Source organism: Homo sapiens, chromosome Y, assembly GCF_000001405.40.
Source record: "Homo sapiens chromosome Y, GRCh38.p14 Primary Assembly".
NCBI classification, from domain to species: domain Eukaryota; kingdom Metazoa; phylum Chordata; class Mammalia; order Primates; family Hominidae; genus Homo; species Homo sapiens.
The window spans coordinates 12,447,294-12,467,498 of NC_000024.10; the positions used below are offsets into that span (position 1 = coordinate 12,447,294).

The following is a 20,205-nucleotide window of genomic DNA, read 5'->3' on the forward strand; positions in this document are numbered from 1 at the left end:
AAGACCAGCCTGGGCAATGTGGCGAAACCACCTTTGCAAAAATTGTAACTGAGGAAATGATGACAGTGAAAGAGGCCAGACCTAACCGACTCCATCTTGTTTCTAACCCTTAAGCTGTCCTTGTTCATTCCTCGGCATAGGCCCAACTAACTTTGGGAAGGAATTCAGTTCATGGTTTGACTCTGAAACAAGATTGATCATAGCCTTTTCCTGAAAACACCTCCTTCTTGCCTGGGGACCAGCTGGACTTTGTAGAACGAACAAATTAGCTACAAGATTAAAAACTATAGGGCTGGGCGCACTGGCTCAAGCCTATAATCCCAGCACTTTGGGAGGCCGAGGAGGGTGGATCGCCTCAGGTCAGGAGTTCGAGACCAGCCGGAACAATATGGTGAAACCCCGTCTCTGGTAAAAATACAAAAATTAGCCGGGCATGGTGACATGTGCCCGTAGTCCCAGCTACTGGGGAGGCTGAGGCAGGAGAATTGCTTGAACCAGGGAGGCAGAGGATGCAGTGAGCCAAGATCACGCCACTGCACTCAAGCCTGGGCAACAGAGTGATACTCTGTCTCGAAAAAAAAAAGAAAAGAAAAGAAAAGAAAAATTATGGTTTAGAGGACATGCAGCCTCTGGCTCAAGAGTCTGAACCTCTGCAAATTGCTCCTGGGGGTAACATCACCATTGTAAAATGTAAGTGCGGTATTTGAGATATTTTGCAGCCTCTGCACTGGATGGATCAGCTGGCACCACCCAGCCCGGTAATCTGGCTCAACCAGTTCCGCCATCCACCCAGGAACAGAAAACAGCAAGAAAACCTCACTTCAACCCCCTATGGTTCCCTCTGCAACCTGACCAATCAGCCCTCCCCACTTCCCAAGCCCCTACCCGCCAAATTATCTTTAAAAACTCTGGACCCTGAATGCCTGGGGAGACTGATTTGAGTAATAATAAAACTCTGGTCTCTGGCACAGCTGGCTCTGCATGAATTACTCTTTCTCCATTACAATTCCTCTGTCTCGATAAATCGGCTCTGTCTAGGCAGGGGGCGAGGTAAACCCATTGGGCAGTTACAAAAGTGAGATCCTATCTCTACAAAAATTTTTTTTTTAATTTAGCTGGGTATGATGGTGTGTGCCTGTAGCCCCAGCTCCTCAGGAGGCTGAGGTGGGAGGATCACTTGAGCCCAGGAGTTTGAGGCTGCAGTGAGCTATGATTGCACCACTGCACTCCAGCCTGGGCAACAGAGTAAGACTCTGTCTCTAAATAAATAAGTAATAGAATAATAAAAAACTACTCCCAGTGGCTTTCTGTAAAAACATTTAATTTGGTCTTTGCCTGACATTTTCAGTTAAATTGAAACCGCCTTTGCAAAAATTATAACAGTAAGAAAATTACGACAGTGAAAGAGATCTGACCTAACCGACTGCATCGTGCCTGTAGCCCTCAAACAGCCCTAGTTCATTCCTGAACACAGACTCAGATAACCATAGGAGGAATGTCCAGCTTAACATTCAAACAAAGATAACAGCTCTTTTCTGAAACAAACTCCCTTCTTCCCCGGGGATCAGACTGCCTTTGAAAGACTAACAAATTAGTCACAAGATTAGAAATTATATTAATAGGTTAGGAGCCATGCAGCCGGAGGCCACAAGATTCCAAACCTCTTCAGTTGCTCCTAGGGATGGCATCACTATTGTAAAACCTAAGGTTGAAGTTGAGATATTTTTTAAACCCTGCATTGAGATGCACCAGCCGGCACCACCCAGACTGGTAATGCGGCTCAGCGAGCTCTGCCGTCCCACACAAGAACAGAAGACAACAAAAAGAATCCATGTCCATCCTCTGTGACTCTACTGCCAACTAACCAATCAGCATTCCCCATGCCCAGGTCTCCTACCAGCGAAATTATACTTTGAAAAACCCTGTGTCCACATTTTGGGTGAAGCTGATTTGAGTCGTAAAACTCCAGTCTTGGCTAGGTGCAGTGGCTCATGCCCATAATCCCAGTTCTTTGGGAGGCTGAGGTGGGAGAAACACTTGAGGCCAGGAGTTAAAGACCAGCCTGGGCAACATAGTGAGACCCCATCTCTACAAAAATTTTTTAAAAATTAGGCAGTTGTGGTGGCATACACCTGTGGTCCTAGCTACACGGGAGGCTGAGGCGGGAGGATCGCTTGAGCCCAAGAGGTTGAGGCTGTAGTGAGCTATGATTTCACCACTGCAGTCCAGCCTGGGTAACAAAATGAAACCCTGTTTAAAGAAAAAAAAGCAAAACCTCCAGTTGATATAGGAGTTAAGAAGGAATTACTTTATTACTTAGGCACATAGCAAGGGTATGGGAGTCCTTGATAAGGCTCTTCTTTTTAATGAAAAGCAGCCCCAAATCATTTCATAACAAAAAGCAGCCTGTAAAGTTGAGCTGCAGACATAGACAAGCCAGCTAGAAGCCTGCATGGGTGAATGCCAGCAGGAACTAGGGCCTAGACATGTTCAAGATGGCAGCTTCATCTTCCCTCCTCTTTGTCAGCCCTATGTACAGTAAGAAGCAGACAAGATGGCACTGACCAACTGGAAAGCCCATTTACATAACAAGATTAGGGTGGGGCCACCAGCCTTCCCCACACACTATGTAGAAGTCATACCTGATTGAACCAATCTGTGAGCCCTGTGTAAATCAGACACCGCCTCCTCCAGCCTGCCTATAAAAGCTGCTGTGGTCCACAACCTCCCAACTTTTTCAGACGTTTCTCTCTCTCTCTCACAAGAAGATGCTCTCCTCTCTCCTTTCTTCTATCAAACTTTCAACTCCTTAACCCACTCACATGTGTCCGTGTCCTGAATTCTTTCTCAGGATGTGACAATGAACCCCAGGGTATGTACCCCAGACAGCATAGCTGCTTCACAGGTTCCCGTTCAGTCAGCTCTGTGTGAATTAAACTCTTTTTCTATTGTAATTCCTGTCTTAATAAATCAGGTCTATCTAGGTAGTAGGTAAGGGGAACCCCTTAGGTAGTTACAGAAAGATGGTGGAAGGAACCCATAATATGTGGAGTTGAAGGTGGTCAATTCTTTTTTTGTGTTCTTTTTTTGTTTTGAGACATTCCATGGCCCAGGCTGGAAGGCAGTGGTGCTATCATGGCTCACTGCAGCCTCAAACTTCCAGGGTCACTTCAAACTCCTGACTAGCTGGGACCACAGGTACACACTTCCATGCCCAGCTAATTTTTGCTTTTTTTTTTTTTTTTTTTTTTTTTTTTTTTTTTTTTTTTTGGTAGAGGCAGGGTTTCACTATTTTGCCCAGGCTGATCTTGAACTCCTGAACTCAAGCGGTCCACCTACCTTGGCGTGGGATTACAGGCGTGGGCCACCATGCCCGGCCAAAAGTGGACAGTTCTTGACCTCAGGTAATAAGCACCTTGTCATGAGCCCCCTCCCACCCTGAAGCTTGTCTGTGTCATAGGAAGTGAGTTCTGAGGATGGGCTACATATAGGGCCACAGCTATTGCTCCTTTGAAGTGGACGGTTGAGTGTCGTGCATTGTTTTCATTTTGTTAAATGGATCTGATGACAATACTCGCTTCAGAGTGTAATGAAGATGACGGACATCAAAAAATTTTACTCCAAAATATATTGCTTTGCCTTATTTTGAAATTGCCGCTCCAGGACCAGCAGACTGAGGTGGGGAAATTGGCATCTGTAGAGGATCTTTGCTGTTGCAGCCAGGCCTTCCCTTTCTAAGCTTTTCCTGGATGTAGGAGAGAGAAACGGAGACTCTGACACCTTTACAGGTCTAAAAAGAAACATTTACCATGGTCGTCTCTAATGGCTGCTACCTGGGAACCTTCATCTGCATAACAAGGACCCCCTTGCTAAGCAGGCCTCTTCCTGTCTCCCTCTCATCACCTGGCTTGCCACCCATTAAACCTGCTTTACCAACATCACCTATTTGGGGCCATGCTCTGAGCCCACATTCTTCCTGCAAAGAACAGCAAATAGCAAATTCAAATAGCAAAGTCATGGTATCAACCTAGGTTCCCATCAATGGTAGACTGGACAAGGAAAATGTGGCCCATATACATTGTGGAATATTACACATCCATAAAAAAGAACAAGATCATGTCCTTTGCAGCAACATGGATAGAGCTGCTGGCCATTCTCCTAAGCAAACTAATGCGGGAACAGAAAACCAAATACCATGTGTTCTCATTTACAAGTGGGAGCTAAACACAGAGTACGCATTGTGAAAGGAAATTAAATTTTGTGATCCTGAACTCATTTAGTCAAAGGGAAAAGTCAAGCTGGGAAGTGGGTCACACAAACCTGCCTCCCCCTTTTGGTTCCTAAATAAAATGGCTACAAGATGAAAAGCTACATGTCTCCCCCATATTTTGCCCACAAGGAAAATCCTAATGAGCTGTTAAGATTTCACCATGACAATGTATATCGATAGCTTATCTTTACAGGTGCAGTAACCCCCACCCACCAGACACAAATCATATGTGATTGCTCCCCTGCCCCATTTTGTCCAGATTATCTTATGCAGCATGCAGATTCCCTGCATTTTCCCTCTACCCCATTTGTCTATGTCATCTTATGTAAAAAACACAGATTCACTGAGCCAGACAAAAGCATGAATAACTATTTTCCCTACCCACCTCTTCCATGAAAATTATGTACTTCTTAATTTCCCGCCCTTTCCCCTTTAAATTTGCAGCCTTCAAAATCGTCTTCGGAGAAGGCCACAGACCTGTCTCCTGGGTGCATGTCCTTAACCTTAACTTTGGCAAATAAATCTTTTACACTCGTCTCATCATTTTTCTTGATTGACAACATAGACACAAAGAAGGGAACACCAGACACCAGGGCCTACTTGAAGGCAGAGGGTGGGAGGAGAGTGGGGATGGGAAAACTACCTATCAGGTACTATGCTTATTACCTGGGTGATGACATAATCTGTACACCAATCCCCTGTGACAAACAATTTACCTATATAACAATGCTACACAAGGACCCCTGAACCTAACATCAAAGTTAAAAAAGATGGTCTATAAGCTTTTGCATCCCATTGGTGATTGAGTCTTGGTTCTGAAGGTTTGCATGTATATCCACTCAATAAATTTATACGTTTTTTTCTCCTGTTAATTAAGCTGCCTCATTTCAGTGATTCAGAGAAAACTTAGGGGGCCAAGAGCCTTGGCTCTCACAAAGCCTAATCAGACTATATCAAAAAAAAGAAAAGAAAAGAAAAGAAAAAAGTACTTCCCACATTACCAGAGCTCTTGGCACGTATTAGTTTTTGTTTGTTTGTTTGTTTTAGTATTTATTGATCATTCTTGGGTGTTTCTCAGAGAGGGGAATGTGACAGGGTCATAGGATAATAGTGGAGGGAAGGTCAGCAGACAAACATGTGAACAAGGGTCTCTGGTTTTCCTAGGCAGAGGACCCTGCGGCCTTCCGCAGTATTTGTGTCCCTGGGTACTTGAGATTAGGGAGTGGTGATGACTCTTCACGAGCATGCTGCCTTCAAGCATCTGTTTAACAAAGGACATCTTGCACCACCCTTAATCCATTTAACCCTGAGTGGACACAGCACATGTTTCAGAGAGCACAGGGTTGGGGGTAAGGTTATAGATTAACAGCATCCCAAGGCAGAAGAATTTTTCTTAGTACAGAACAAAATGGAGTCTCTCATGTCTACTTCTTTCTACACAGACACAGTAACAATCTGATTTCTCTTTCTTTTCCCCACATTTCCCCCTTTTCTTTTCGACAAAACCGCCACGTCATCATGGCCCATTCTCCCTGGTCGCTGTCTCTTCGGAGCTGTTGAGTACACCTCCCAGATGGGGCGGCCGGGCAGAGGCACTCCTCACTTCCCAGACGGGACGGCCGGGCAGAGGCGTTCCTCACTTCCCAGACAGGGCGGCCAGGCAGAGGTGCTCCTCACTTCCCAGATGATGGGCAGCAGGGCAGAGGCGCTCCCCACTTCCCAGATGGGGTGACGGCCGGGCAGAGGCGCTCCTCACCTCCCAGACAGGGCGGCCAGGCAGAGGTGCTCCTCACATCCCAGACGCGGTGGCGGCCGGGCAGAGGCGCTCCTCACTTCCCAGAAGGGGCGGCCAGGCAGAGGCGCTCCTCACATCCCAGACGCGGTGGCAGCCGGGCAGAGGTGCTCCTCACCTCCCAGACGGGGTGGCCGGGCGGAGGCGCTCCTCAAATCCCAGACGGGGTGGCTGGGCGGAGGGTCTCCTCACTTCCCAGATGACGTGGCGGCCAGGCAGAGGCACTCTTCACCTCCCAGACGGGGCAGCCAGGCAGAGGCACTCCTCACTTCCCAGACAGGGCAGCCGGGCAGAGGCACTCCTCACTTCCCAGACGGGGTGGCGGCCGGGCAGAGGCACTCCTCACCTCCCAGACGCGGTGGTGGCTGGGCAGAGGTGCTCCTCACCTCCCAGATGGGGCGGCTGGGCAGAGGCGCTCCTCACATCCCAGATGATGGGCAGCCAGGCAGAGGCGATCCTCACCTCCAAGACCGGGTGGCCAGGCAGAGGCGCTCCTCACCTCCCAGCCAGGGTGGCCGGGCAGAGGCTCTCCTCACTTCCCAGACGGGGTGGCCGGGCAGAGGCGCTCCTCACTTCCTAGATGGGGTGGCAGCCAGGCAGAGGTGCTCCTCACTTCCCAGATGGGGCGACCGGGCAGAGGGGCTCCTCACATCCTGGACCATGGGCGGCCAGGCAGAAATGCTGCTCACTTCCTAGACGGGGTGGCGGGCGGGCAGGGGCTGTAATCTTAGCACTTTGGGAGGCCAAGGCAGGCGGCTGGGAGGTGGAGGTTGTAGTGAGCCGAGATCACGCCACTGCACTCCAGCCTGGGCAACACTGAGCACTGACTGAGCAAGACTCCGTCTGCAATCTCAGCACCTCGAGAGGCCGAGGCAGGCAGATCACCCAAGGCCAGGAGCTGGAGACCAGCCTGGTCAACATGGCGAAACCCCGTCTCCATCAAAAATACAAAAACCAGTCAGGAGTGGCGGCGCGTGCCTGGAATCCCAGGCACTGGGCAGGCCGAGGCAGGAGAATCACGGGAGCCCAAGGCAGGGAGGTTGCAGCGAGCTGAGATCATGGCAGTACAGTCCAGGCTGGGCAAGAGAGGGAGACCGTAGAAAGAAGAGGGAGAGGGAGACAGAAGGAGGGGGAGGGGGAGGGGAAGAGGGAGAGGGAGAGGGGCATGTATTAGTTTTAACCAAAAAGATGGTTACTCAAGGCTGGGTGCAGTAGCTGACGTCTGTAACCCCAGCACTATGAGAGGCTGAAGAGAGCAGATCACCTGAGGTCAGGAGTTCAAGACCAGCCTGACCAACATGGTAAAACCCCGTCTCTATTAAAACTAAAAAAATTAGCCAGGCACAGTGGCTCATGCCTGTAATCCCAGCGCTCTGGGAGGCTGAGGCAGATGGATCACCTGAGGTCAGGAGTTCAAGACCAATCTGACCAACATGGTGAAACCCTGTGTCTACTAAAAATACAAAAATTAGGGGGAGCTGGTGGCACATGCTTGTAATCCCAGCTACTTGGAGGCTGAGGCAGGAGAATCATTTGAACCCGGGAGGCCAAGGTTGCAGTGAGCAGAGATTGCACCACTGCACTCCAGCCCGGGCAACAAGTGAAACCCTGTCTCAAAAAAAAAAAAAGAAAGAAAAGATGGTTACTCAATTCATTGAAGGTGTGCAAAACTGTTAACAAAGAGAAAATGTTAAACTCAACCAAGCGAAGAACCCCTGTTTATGGCTCCTGTAGAACACTGCTTTAATTCTGGGCATAACCACCACCCAAAAGTGTTTTCTTGCTTTTTTCTTTTCTTTTATTTATTTATTTATTATTATTATTAATTTTTTTTTTGAGACAGGATCTCAGTCTGTCACCAAAGCTGGAGTACAGTGGCACAATCTTTTTGTTTGTTTTTTGAGATGGAGTCTCGCTCTGTCGCCCAGGCTGGAGTGCAGTGGTGCGATCTCGGCTCACTGCAAGCTCCTTCTCCCAGGTTCAAGCCATTCTCCTGCCTCAGCCTCCCGAGTAGCTGGGACTACAGGTGCCTGCCACCACGCCCGGCTAATTTTTTGTATTTTTAGTAGAGATGGGGTTTCACCGTGTTACCCAGGATGGTTTCTATCTCCCGACCTTGTGATCCGCCCAGCTCGGCCTCCCAAAGTGCTGGGATTACAGGCGAGAGCCACCACGCACGGCCGGCAGGATCTTATCTCTCTCTGCTCACTGAAGCCTGGACCTCCTGGGCTAGAGGGATCCTCCTACCTCCGCCTTCTGAGTAGCTGGAAGTACAGGCACGTGCCACCACGCCTGGCTAATTTTTGCATATATATATATTTTTTGTAGAGACAGGGTTTTGCCATGTTGCCCAGGCTGGTCTCAAACTCCTGGGCTCAAGCAATCGCTCCCACCTCGCCCTCCCAAAGTGCTGGGATGACAGGCATGAGCCACCGCGCCCGGCCATTGAAAGTGTTTTCTATTCTGTTTGAAGTAAGTGAACTGCGCCCCTACTCTCTCTCTGTAATTAGTTGTATAGTTCTTTGCTCTGTTTACTTTTACCTAAAGGGGTGTGTGTGTGTGTGTGCGTGCATGTATGCGTGTGTGTATGTGTGGCTGCACCCACCCTCCTGGGGAACAGAAGCGGAACAGCCCAGCACAGACAGGTTCTCAGAAGACCAGACACCAGCACACAGCACCCTACTCACCAAAGACTCTAGGTAGAAGGCCCAGGGCAGAATGCAACTGGGAGCCCTAGAAAGATGACCCATCTGGCCCTCCGCCCACCGCGTGCCTAGATGTGGGGGCACCGTGCGTGTTGCCGAACTTGTTATAACTGGAGTAGCCACCGCCACCACCTCCTGTTAGACAGAGAAGGTAGAGCTGAGGGATGTTCAGGTGTCCGAGCGTGGGGTTTCCTGCAGGTGTTGGTCTGTCCAGCTCGTTGGGAATGGCAACAAGTCGTGTGAACGTGTCACTGCCAAGAGAGCTCCAAAGAGTGACCAGCAGGGGAGAGTCAAGGGTGGCCCCACCAAAGCTTCCTCTTCCCCGTGGGAAAACTCATGCCAACACTGAGCTCTAGCTATCAAAAACACTTGCCGTCACGGGACTAACATTTACCCTGGGGACTCCAAATTCACGCAGGCGCACCCGCTTCCTGCCGAGAAACTGATATGAGATCAGCCACCCCGACGCCGGATTAGGAGGACCTTCCAGCAGATGGTCTCAATCTTAAATGTTCTCAGTTTCTCCTTTCAAAAATAACTAGTAATTTTTAATTTATTCCTGATCGTTATTGTAATAAATTCTAAGACAGTGCTTTTATTTATTGCAAGTAAACACGGCAGAAAAGGTGACTGGATGCAATCTGGTTGTCTGAAGGATGCAGATCCAGCTTTGCAAAACAGCTGGGACAAGTCCTTTACGTCTTCTAAAATAATATTGCAGAACTAAACAGACCAGAAATCTCACATGCTTGAAAATAAAGCCTCAAACATCACACTCTTCAGCCCAATGTTGCATGCATCTCTATCTCCTATTGTCTGTACTTGTATTTCTATATGAAAGATTCTTGGCAGACATTCACCTCCAATTATAGAGAAAATTTTATATTAGAAGTGTTTATATATGTCTGTGTGTATAAAGATACACGTACATATATAAAGGTATACACACACACACACACAAAAATACCTAAATGTATATACACATATACATGAAGGGACCTATACACACATATATAAAACAGTATGCATACATATATAAAGGTACACACATACATATAAATATGGAAACATATGTAAGCTATATATGCATACATATATGGAAAGACATATACAAAAGTGTGTATATACGAAGAATGCATATATACACATAAAATATATACTTATATAAGATATGTATACATATATAAAGGTTATATATAGATATATAAATACATTTATGAAGATATTTATACATATAAAGACATATGCATATATAAAAGTGTATATATAAATGTATGCATAGATACATAAAGGTATATATGTACATATATAAAGATATATAAAGATATAATTATATATGTATAAAAATATATATTTATATAACATACACATAAAATATAAAATGTATATGATGTATATAAGGTTATATTAAAGATATATATAAAGATACATTAAAAGATATACATATAGACCAGTTGCAGTGGCTCACACCTGTAATCCCAGCACATTGGGAGGCCAAGCCGGGTGGATCAGGAAGTCAGGAGTTCAGGACCAACCTGGCCAAAATGGTGAAGCCCCATCTTTACTAAAAATACAAAAATTAGCAGGGCGTGCTAGCAGCACCTGTAATCCAAGCTTCTTAGGAGTCTGAGGCAGAGAATTGCTTGAACCCGGGAGGCAGAGGTTGTAGTGAGCCACAGTCATGCCACTGCACTCCAGCCTGGGCAACAGAGTGAGACTCCATCTCAAAAATGTATGTGTATATATATAGTTAGATACATATATAAAGACATTTATATACCTATATAAAGATATATACACATGTATATATAAAGTTTTGTGTATATATAACATATATAAAAGTATATACACATAAAGGTATATGTGTATGTGTACATAGGTACATTTATACACACATATAAAGAAAAACATATGTATTTATAAAAGTGTATATATAAATATATACATACATATATAAAAGCAAATAGACATAAAGGTATGTATGTACATATGTAAAATATACATAAAGGAATATATTTAATTATATATGTAAAGATATATATAACACACATAAAATATAAAAATGTATATAAAATGTATATGTATTTAAAGATATACATGAAGATATATATTTTAAAAAGATATATTAAAAGATATACATATAAATACATAAATATATATAAAAACATATATCTGCATATAAAGATATATACAGATATAAATCATGTACCTATGTAAAGATATACATAGGCATACATATAAAGTCAGGAATATACATATATAAAAACATAGAAAGGTATCTACATAGTGTATATATACAAAAGCATGTATTTATACACATGAAAAAACCCATATACCTACATATGCAAATGTATTTATATCCATTTAAAAGTAATATACACACAAATATAAAGATATATAAACATTTATATACACACAAATGAAGATTGATAAGCATGCAGATACACAAAGGTGTGTCTGGACATATACACCCACACTTACACATATACAAGTCTAAACAGAAATGACCACAAGTGTTTCAGTGGACCCTCCAGGTCTACCTTTTCATTTTGTTTCCATCCAATTCACTAGCCTGGGGAAGAAGACAGATGCCCAGACTGCAAACCCCACTGATACAGCCATGGAGCCTTCTCCTTCATCCCCTGCACTAGCCTGTAGTCTACCCGTGACCAACTTTTCCCCAATCTCAGGCCTCTCATCCCACCTTCTCTGCACAAATTCAACGTGTCGCATGTGGAGAGGCTCAGCACCTACCTGCAGGCGTCACTCTGCCCAGCTAATTTTGTATTTTTAGTAGAAACGGGTTCACCATGTTGGCTGCTGGTCTCGAACTCAGGTAATCCATCTGAAGAGACCCTGGCCTCCCAAAGTGCTGGGATTACAGGTGTGAAGAACATTTTTTTTTTTTTTTTTTTTTTGAGACAGGGTCTTGCTCTGTCTTCCAGGCTGGAGTGCTGTGGTGTGATCTCGGCTCACAGCAGCCTCCACTTTGTGGGTTCAAGTGATTCTCCTGCCTCAGCTTCCCAAGTAGCTGGGATTACAGGCATGTGCCACTATGCTCGGCGAATTTTTGTATTTTTAGTAGACACAGGGATTCACCATGTTGCTCAGGCTGGTGTCAAACTCCTGACCTCAAGTGATCTGCCCACCTTGGCTTCCCAAAATGCTGGGATTACAGGCATGAGCCACTGTGCCTGGCCCCAAACACTTCTAAAATGGATTTTAATACTCATTATCAGGCTGGGCCACAATAGCTTGTGCCTGTAATCCCAGTATTTTGGGAGACTGAGGCAGAAGACTGTTTGAGACCAGGAGTTCAGGACTAGCCTGGACAACATAGCAAGATCCTGTCTCTGCAAAAAATTTTAAAAATAGCCACACATGCTGGTGCACCTCTGTAGTCCCAGCTACTTGAAAGGCTGAGGGAGGAAGATTGCTTGAGCCCAGGAGTTCGAGGCTGCGATTACATCACTTCACTCCAGCCAGGGCAACAGAGCGAGACACTGTCTCCAAAATAAACAATAAAATAAAATAGTAAAATAACATAGTATCAAATAAAATACTAAAATAAAGTAAAATAACATAGAATGAAATAAAATACTAAAATAAAAAAATAAAAATAAATAAAAAATACTCATTACCTCCACTGTTGCCAGAATTGCTGGGGTTGAGGGCATGGCTTCAGCTTTGGGTAGATATCTGTTGGGAAACAACAGGATGATTTCAGAAAATAATGATATCTTTCGGGGAAATACCATCTATAAACAAGAATGCCAAAATACAGAAAAGGTGTAACCATCCATCGCTTTTAAGGAGCTTATTAATCATGTAGACAATATTCACAATACCACCTCAGAGCTTACAATTAAAAAAATAAACTTCTATTTTTGTACCCTAAACTTACTCCCTTGGTCCTTTTGCAAGAAGTCCAAGGCTCTCTGAAATTAACAGGGCAGGAAGTGTGTTGTTGACCTTTCCCTGTTTAGGGCCATTACAAATGCCAGCATGGTTTATAGAAGTCACTCACCAATATTAGGATGAAACATCTGACCTTTTGATAGTGTGTTATATTTCCATCTTGCTTGAGTTACACCCTTTCATTTGAATTTGTTTTGTTGTTGTTTGTTTTGAGACAGAGTCTTGCTCTGTTGCCTAGGCTGGAGTGCAGTGGTGCAATCATAGCTCCCTGCAGCCTCAACTTCCTGGGCTCAAACAATCCTCCCACCTCAGCCGCCCATGTAGGTCAGACTACAGGTGCACACCACCATGGTTGGCTAATTTTTTAAAATTTTTGTAGAGACAGCGTCTTGCTTTGTTGCCCAGGCTGGTCTCAAACTCCTGGCCCCAAGCAATTGTCCCATCTTGCCTTCCCAAAGAGCTAGAATCATCATAGGCCTGAGCCACACTGAGTCTGGCTTCATTTAAATTTCTTAAAACTTTTTGTAATGACTTTTACATGTTCCTGAAGTTTACCATCAGCTTTCTGCCCCAGGACATTTTTTTTAAGATGCAGTCTTACTCTATTGCCCAGGCTGGAGTGCAGTGGCACAATCTTGGCTCACTGCAACCTCCACCTCCTGGGTTCAAACAGTTCTCATGCCTCTGCCTCCCGAGTAGCTGAGATTGTAGGTGGGCACCACCATGCCTGGGCAATTTTTGTATTTTTAGTAGAGATGGGGTTTCACTATGTTGGCCAGGCTGGTCTCGAACTTCTGACCTCAGGTGATCTGCCCACCTTAACCTCGCAAAGTGCTGGGATTACAAGCATGAGCCCCCACTCCCAGCCCTGCCCCAGGACTTTTGCAGGTGACATTACTTCAGTCATGACCCCTCCTGTTCCCTGTCCACCACTTTACATGCTCCCTAAATATTTGAAGAACACATTTGTCACCTGGAAAAACATTAGCTCGTCCCTCCTGTCTCAGCTTAAATGTCTTTTGACCCGATTCAAGCAGCCGAAATGAAATAATCAGTGCAAGCTCTTTGTACAACATGAGTCTGTATCTTCAGCACCTTTTTTGTCGCTGGACTAGAAACTTTATTTTCTGTACCCATTTTATATTCCTGGTACCTGGCACTGCCAGTACCTGGCAAGTGCTTATCCACATTGGCTCAAGAGTGAAATTACTTTAATTCACAAAAAAGGCAAGGGTGCTGTTCTCAAAGTCCTTCCTCAGGACAGACGTCTCAGAACACTGGAAATCTAGGCTGAGAATGACTAGTTTTTCACTTCTCAAAATAGTCTCTCTCTCTTTCTCTTTCTCTCTTGAGACAGGGTCTTACTCTGTTGCTTAGGCTGGAGTGCAGTGGTGCAATCATAGCTCACTGCAGCCTCCACCTCCTGGATTCAAGTGATCCTCCTGCCTCAGCCTTCTGAGTATAGCTGGGACTGCAGGCATGGAGTATCATGCCTTGCCAAGATTCTCTTTTTTTGTTGTTTTTTGAGACAGAGTCTTGCTCTGCTGCCCAGGCCGGAGTGCAGTAGTGCTATCTCAGCTCACTGCCACTACCACCTCCCGGATTCAAGCAATTCTCCTGCCTCAGCCTCTTGAGTGGCTGGCATTACAGGTATGCACCACCATGCCCAGCTAATTTTTGTATTTTTAGGAGAGTCAGGGTTTCACCATGTTGGCCAGGCTCGTGTTGAAATCCTGACTTCAGATGATCCACCCACTTCAGCCTCTGAAAGGGCTGGGATTACAGACGTGAGCCACAACACCCAGTCTAGACTCTCTTTTGAAGTCTCTAAAATGATACAAATGTGGGAAATTATGGAAACTTGGGGGCCAAAGAGAGAGTGGGGATGGGACACAAGGGAGCTTTGGTTTCCAGGCCAGAAGGCACTGCCCAGAGCTCATGAGCTGCATATTGGTGGCTTGGTTCAGGAAGTCTCTTGGTACCTCACTTTAAGGTCAGTCCTCCCTCAAAATGCCTTCTTCTGTGAGCTTCCCTCCTCCATTCACACACAGAATCACCAACTGCATTGATTCCTGGGCTTACTGCTGAGGCCTTTCTCCTTGGCTTGTAGACACCATCTTCTCCGTGTGTCCTCACAGGGTCGTCCCTCTGTGTGTGTCTGTGTCCTCATCTCCTCTTCGTATGAGGTGTCTTAGTCCATTTCAGGCTGCTATCACAGAATACTATAGACTGGGAGGCTTGTAAACAATAGAGATTGATTCTCCGGAAGTCCTGGAGGCTAGGAGTCTGAGATCAAGGTGTGAGCTGGTCTGGCCTCCTAAGGCCTCTCTCCTGGGCTTGTAGATGCCGTCTTCTCCCTGTGTCTTCATATAATCTTTCCTCTGTGTGTGTCTATATCCTCATCTCTTCTTATTAGGATACCAGTCCTATTGGGTCAGGACCCACTCTAGTGACCTTATTTTACCTTAATCTCCTCCTTAAAGACCCTGTCTCCAAAGACAATCATATTCTGAGGAAACTGGGAGTTAGGACTTCACGCTCTGAATTTGTGGGGAGACTTAATTTATCTCATAACAGATTGCATCAAATGGAATCCTTGCCTGTCTTGCTACTTTTAAGACAACATGGAGCCAGACATGGTGGGTCACGCCGGTAATCCTAGTGTCAGGCCTCTGACCCCAAGCTAAGCCATCATATACATACAACATATATGTATACATGTTACCTGCATGTATACATCCAGATGGCCTAAAGTAACTGAAGAATAACAAAAGAAGTGAAAATGGCCTGTTTGTGCCTTAACTGATGGCATTCCACCACAAAAGAAGTGAAAATGGCCAGTCCCTGCCTTAACTGATGACACTACCTTGTAAAATTCCTTCTCCTGGCTCAAAGGCTGAAGGGGTGGGTTGCCCCTCCACACCTCTGGGTGCTTCTCCTTAGGTGGAATGAGAGACTTGGAAAAGAAAAAGACACAGAGACAAAGTATAGAGAAAGAAATAGGGGGACCCAGGGAACCAGTGTTCAGCATATGGAGGATCCCACCAGCCTCTGAGTTCCCTTAGTATTTATTGATCGTTCTTGGGTGTTTCTCAGAGAGGGGGATGTGGCAGGGTCATAGGATAATAGTGGAGAGAAGGTCAGCAGATAAACACGTGAACAAAGTTCTCTGCATCATAGATAAGGTAAAGAATTAAGTGCTGTGCTTTAGATATGCATACACATAAACATCTCAATGCCTTACAGAGCAGTATTGTTGCCCGCATGTCCCACCTCCAGCCCTAAGGCGGTTTTCCCCTATCTCAGTAGATGGAACATACAATCGGGTTTTATACTGAGACATTCCATTGCCCAGGGACGAGAAAGAGACAGATGCCTTCCTCTTGTCTCAACTGCAAAGAGGCATTCCTTCCTCTTATACTAATCCAATTCAGCAAAGACCCTTTACGGGTGTTGGGCTGCGGGACGGTCAGGTCTTTCCCTTCCCACAAGGCCATATTTCAGACTATCACATGGAGAGAAACCTTGGACAATACCTGGCTTTCCTAGGCAGAGGTCCCTGCGGCCTTCCGCAGTGTTTGTGTCCTTGGGTACTTGAGATTAGGGAGTGGTGAAGACTCTTAACGAGCATGCTGCCTTCAAGCATCTGTTTAACAAAGCACATCTTGCACCGCCCTTAATCCATTTAACGCTGAGTGGACACAGCACATGTTTCAGAGAGCACAGGATTGGGGGTAAGGTTATAGATTAACAGCATCTCAAGGCAGAAGAGTTTTTCTTAGTACAGAACAATGTGGAGTCTCCTATGTCTACTTCTTTCTACACAGACACAGTAACAATCTGATCTCTCTCTCTTTTCCCCACAAGACTCCCCCACTGAGCACCTTGTGACCCCCGCCCCTGCCAGAGAACAACCCCCTTTGACTGTAATTTTCCTTTACCTACCCAAATCCTATAAAACGGCCCCACCCCTATCTCCCTTTGCTAACTCTCTTTTCGGACTCAGCCCACCTGCACCCAGGTGAAATAAACAGCCTTGTTGCTTACACAAAGCCTGTTTGGTGGTCTCTTCACATGGATGTGAGTGAAACCTAGCATTCTGGGAGGCCAAGAGGGGGTTGGATCATGAAGTCAGGAGTTTGAGACCATCCTGGTCAACATGGTGGAACCCGTCTCAACCGAAAATACAAAAATCAGCTGGGCATGGTGTCGCATGCCTGTAATTTCAGTTACTTGGGAAGCTGAGGAAGGAAAACCACTTGAACCTAGGAGGTGGAGGTTACAGCGACCTAAGATCATGACATCATGCCATTACACTCCAGCCTAGGCAATAGAGTGAGACTCAGTCTGAAAAAAAGAAAAAAAAAAAACATGGATAGGAGCTGTTGTGGTCAGAGAAAAGAATCGGTAAACAATGCTGACATCTCTCAAAGGGACAAGCACAGACATGAGAAGCAGAGTCAACAGTTGGGCTGAGAAATGCCTCAGGGACTCAGGGAAGCCAAGAAAAATGTGCTGAATTTCAAAGGACACAGAGAGAATCTTGGGTTCCTCCAGATCAAATTCTAAGGGAAAGAGACCACTGGGCTCCAAGCATGCCCGGAGTCATCCTGAGAAAGCTGGTTGGTGTGTGGTGAATACTTATAAATCCCCCAGCCACCTGTCAAGTCACTGGAGGAAGAATAAGAAAGAGAACATGGAAAGGCCTAGAACATTCCATCTCTGGGGTCTTCCCAATGTTGCCCATAAGCGATTGCCTTCGTTGTCTGAGAGAACGTTCCACCCCGTATTGAAGGGACTTTACACATTACTTTCTAGGGCACTTCTTCCTTCTCAACATACACATTTGAGAACCTAGGCTAGCCTAGGCTCATTTGGGATATCCTGGGCAGGAACACTGGTTAAGGGGAATTTCTGCTCATGTACCACAGTATCTGTAGCTATGTTCCAACCAGCTTCATGTTTCCTCTTCCTTGGGTGCGTAGGTTAAATTTGACCATTTCCTGTGCCAAATACTCCATGTTCTCATGTCCAATTATGAAAGGAAAATAATTATTTATCTTGGGACCCCAAAATATTAAGCCAAGGGAAAAATCAACCCAGAAAAAAAATGTCAGTCAGCCCTGCCTCCCATTTTCTTTCTAAATACGATAACTACAAAAAATAATTTTTTTTAAGTTTTTTAAAAGCTACATACTGTCCTCACAACTTGAGTAGATTGTTTTGTTTACCCTAAAACAGTTCTGTGGAATTTCACCCTGGCAATGTACACTGATAGCTCATCTTCACGGGTGTGGGACAGAAAGTCATCCCCTCTGCTCCCCTGAGACACACATGTCTGATTTCTCCCTCTGCCCTATTATTGATGTAAAAATGCAGATTCACTGGGCCAGACTGAGGTATAAGTAACGATTCCTTTGCCCTGTCTCACATGTAAATTGAGTTATCAGTGAAAGCCCAATCAAGGACTTGGAAGAAGGCAACTAGTTGTCTCTTAACTTCCTATGACCTGGAAGCCCCTGCTTCCGGTTGTCCCGCATTTCCAGATCGAACCAATGTACTTCTTATATATATTGATTGATATCTCATGTCTCCCTAAAATGTGTAAACCAAGCTGTGTCCTGAAGACTTTGAGCACTTGTCATCAGGACCTCCTGCGGCTGTGTCACGGGCATGTCCTTAACCTTGGCAAAATAAACTTTGTAAACTGATTGAGACCTGTCTCAGATATTTTGGATTCACACGGTATTAATTAATAATTCAGGACTGCCATGTTAAAGGCATCAGCGTGGCTGGATTTAAGCACAACATGAAAAACCAAAGTCGGAAAGGAAGCCTCCTCTTTGTCAAGGCAAGCATCAGGAGATTGAGGCTTGAGTCATGGGGGGTCACCTCCCCAGCCTGAGCCTCTCTTCCCCTACTCCTCCTCCTACTGGGGTTCATGAGTCACTTTGCTGTGGAAGGAGGTGAGTGTTCAGACTCTGAAGATGCCCTTCCTTAAAAGATCTTGCATTTTAAGCTTTCTTTTCTTTTCTTTCTTTTTTTAAGACAAAGTCTCTCTCTGTCCCCCAGACCTGGAGTGCAGTGGTGCCATCTCAGCTTGCTACAACCTCTGCCTCCAGGTTCTCAGCCTTCTGAGTTGCTGCAAATACATACCAAGACTAATTTTTGTATTTTTCGTAGAGATGGGGTTTCACCATGTTGGCCAGGCTGGTCTTGAACTCCTGACCTCAGGTGATCCAACCGCCTTGCTCTACCAAAGTACTGGGATTACAGGCATAAGCCACCATGCCCAGCTGAACTATGCATTTTAAGTCCTGATGAATTCTCTGGGAGGGAAGTCCAAGGTAGTCTGTTTAACCAGGCATTTCCCAAGTCTGTTTCAGCAAGAAACACGTTCCCTGTGGAATTCCCATGACTGCCTTGCAACATAGCCATGACCTATGGGACAATGGTTTTTAAAAGACTAGGAGGAAATAGTAGGAGAAAAAAGTTGGGTGGTATTTGGGATTTTCATCGTGAAGTGGGGGGATAAAAGAAAGACTAGCTGGCTCAACCAATACAGTTAAGGGTGAGGTGGTGTTTTGGGGTTTTGTTTTGTTTTGGTTTGTTTTGTTTTGTTTTGTTTTTTGAGACAAGCCTCATTCTGTTGCCCAGGCTGGAGTGCAGTGGAGCAATCTTGGCCCACTGTAACCACCCTTTCCTGAGTTCAAGCGATTTTCATGTCTTAGCCTCCTAAGTAGCTGGGATTATAGGTATGTGCCACCATGCCCAACTAATTTTTGTATTTTTGGTAGAGACGGGGTTTTGCCATATTGGCCAGACTGGTCTCGAACTCCTGACTTCAGGTGATCCACCCGCCTTGGCCTCCCAAAGTGCTGGGATTCCAGGCATGAGCCCCTGCACCTGGCCTGAGGTGTTGTTTTTCAAGTGGGTGTCATCTCCCTTGGGTCTTGGTCTCTATTTTTAATGATTCCTTGTAAGAGGAGATAATTTCCATCCATCTGGATGTGCTGTTTCTGCATCATATGGACATGCTGTTAAGCTGTGAAAGTTTAAAACCAGAACAAGCTACCAGGAAGCTTCCAGAACACCTCTTGACTTAGCCAGCTTCACGCTGCTCTGCCTGGCAAATATTTAAGTTTTTAAGGTTATTGAACTGCTGGTAACATTAACGGCCAGAATCTTTCTCTTCCTTTCTTCTTTCCCCTTTCTTTTCTCTCTTTCTCTTTCTGTCTCTCCACCCCAACCCTGCTTCTCTCTTGCTCACTTTCTTTTTTTGACTTGCATATTTTTCAACGATGAAAGTAATAAATCTGCGGAAAAAAGTGTCTGCCAGATGTTACAAAAAATGGAGAGAAACCAACTCTAAAACACATGAAAATGCACAGCACACTTGGGGTTTCATGAATGGTCAAGCCAAAGGTATTTGGAGCACTGAAAACAAGTGAGAAAAAAGACTTGTCTCTCAGCCTGATTAGCTTTCTGTGATGATAACATAAAGTGTCCTTTGAGTATAA

The 20,205-nt window shown here is 45.3% G+C and overlaps 1 pseudogene; it reads right to left on the minus strand.

The window, feature by feature from the left end:
• Positions 1 to 20,205, minus strand: part of LOC124905301 (glycoprotein Xg-like) — a 69,005-nt pseudogene that overhangs the window by 8,689 nt on the left and 40,111 nt on the right.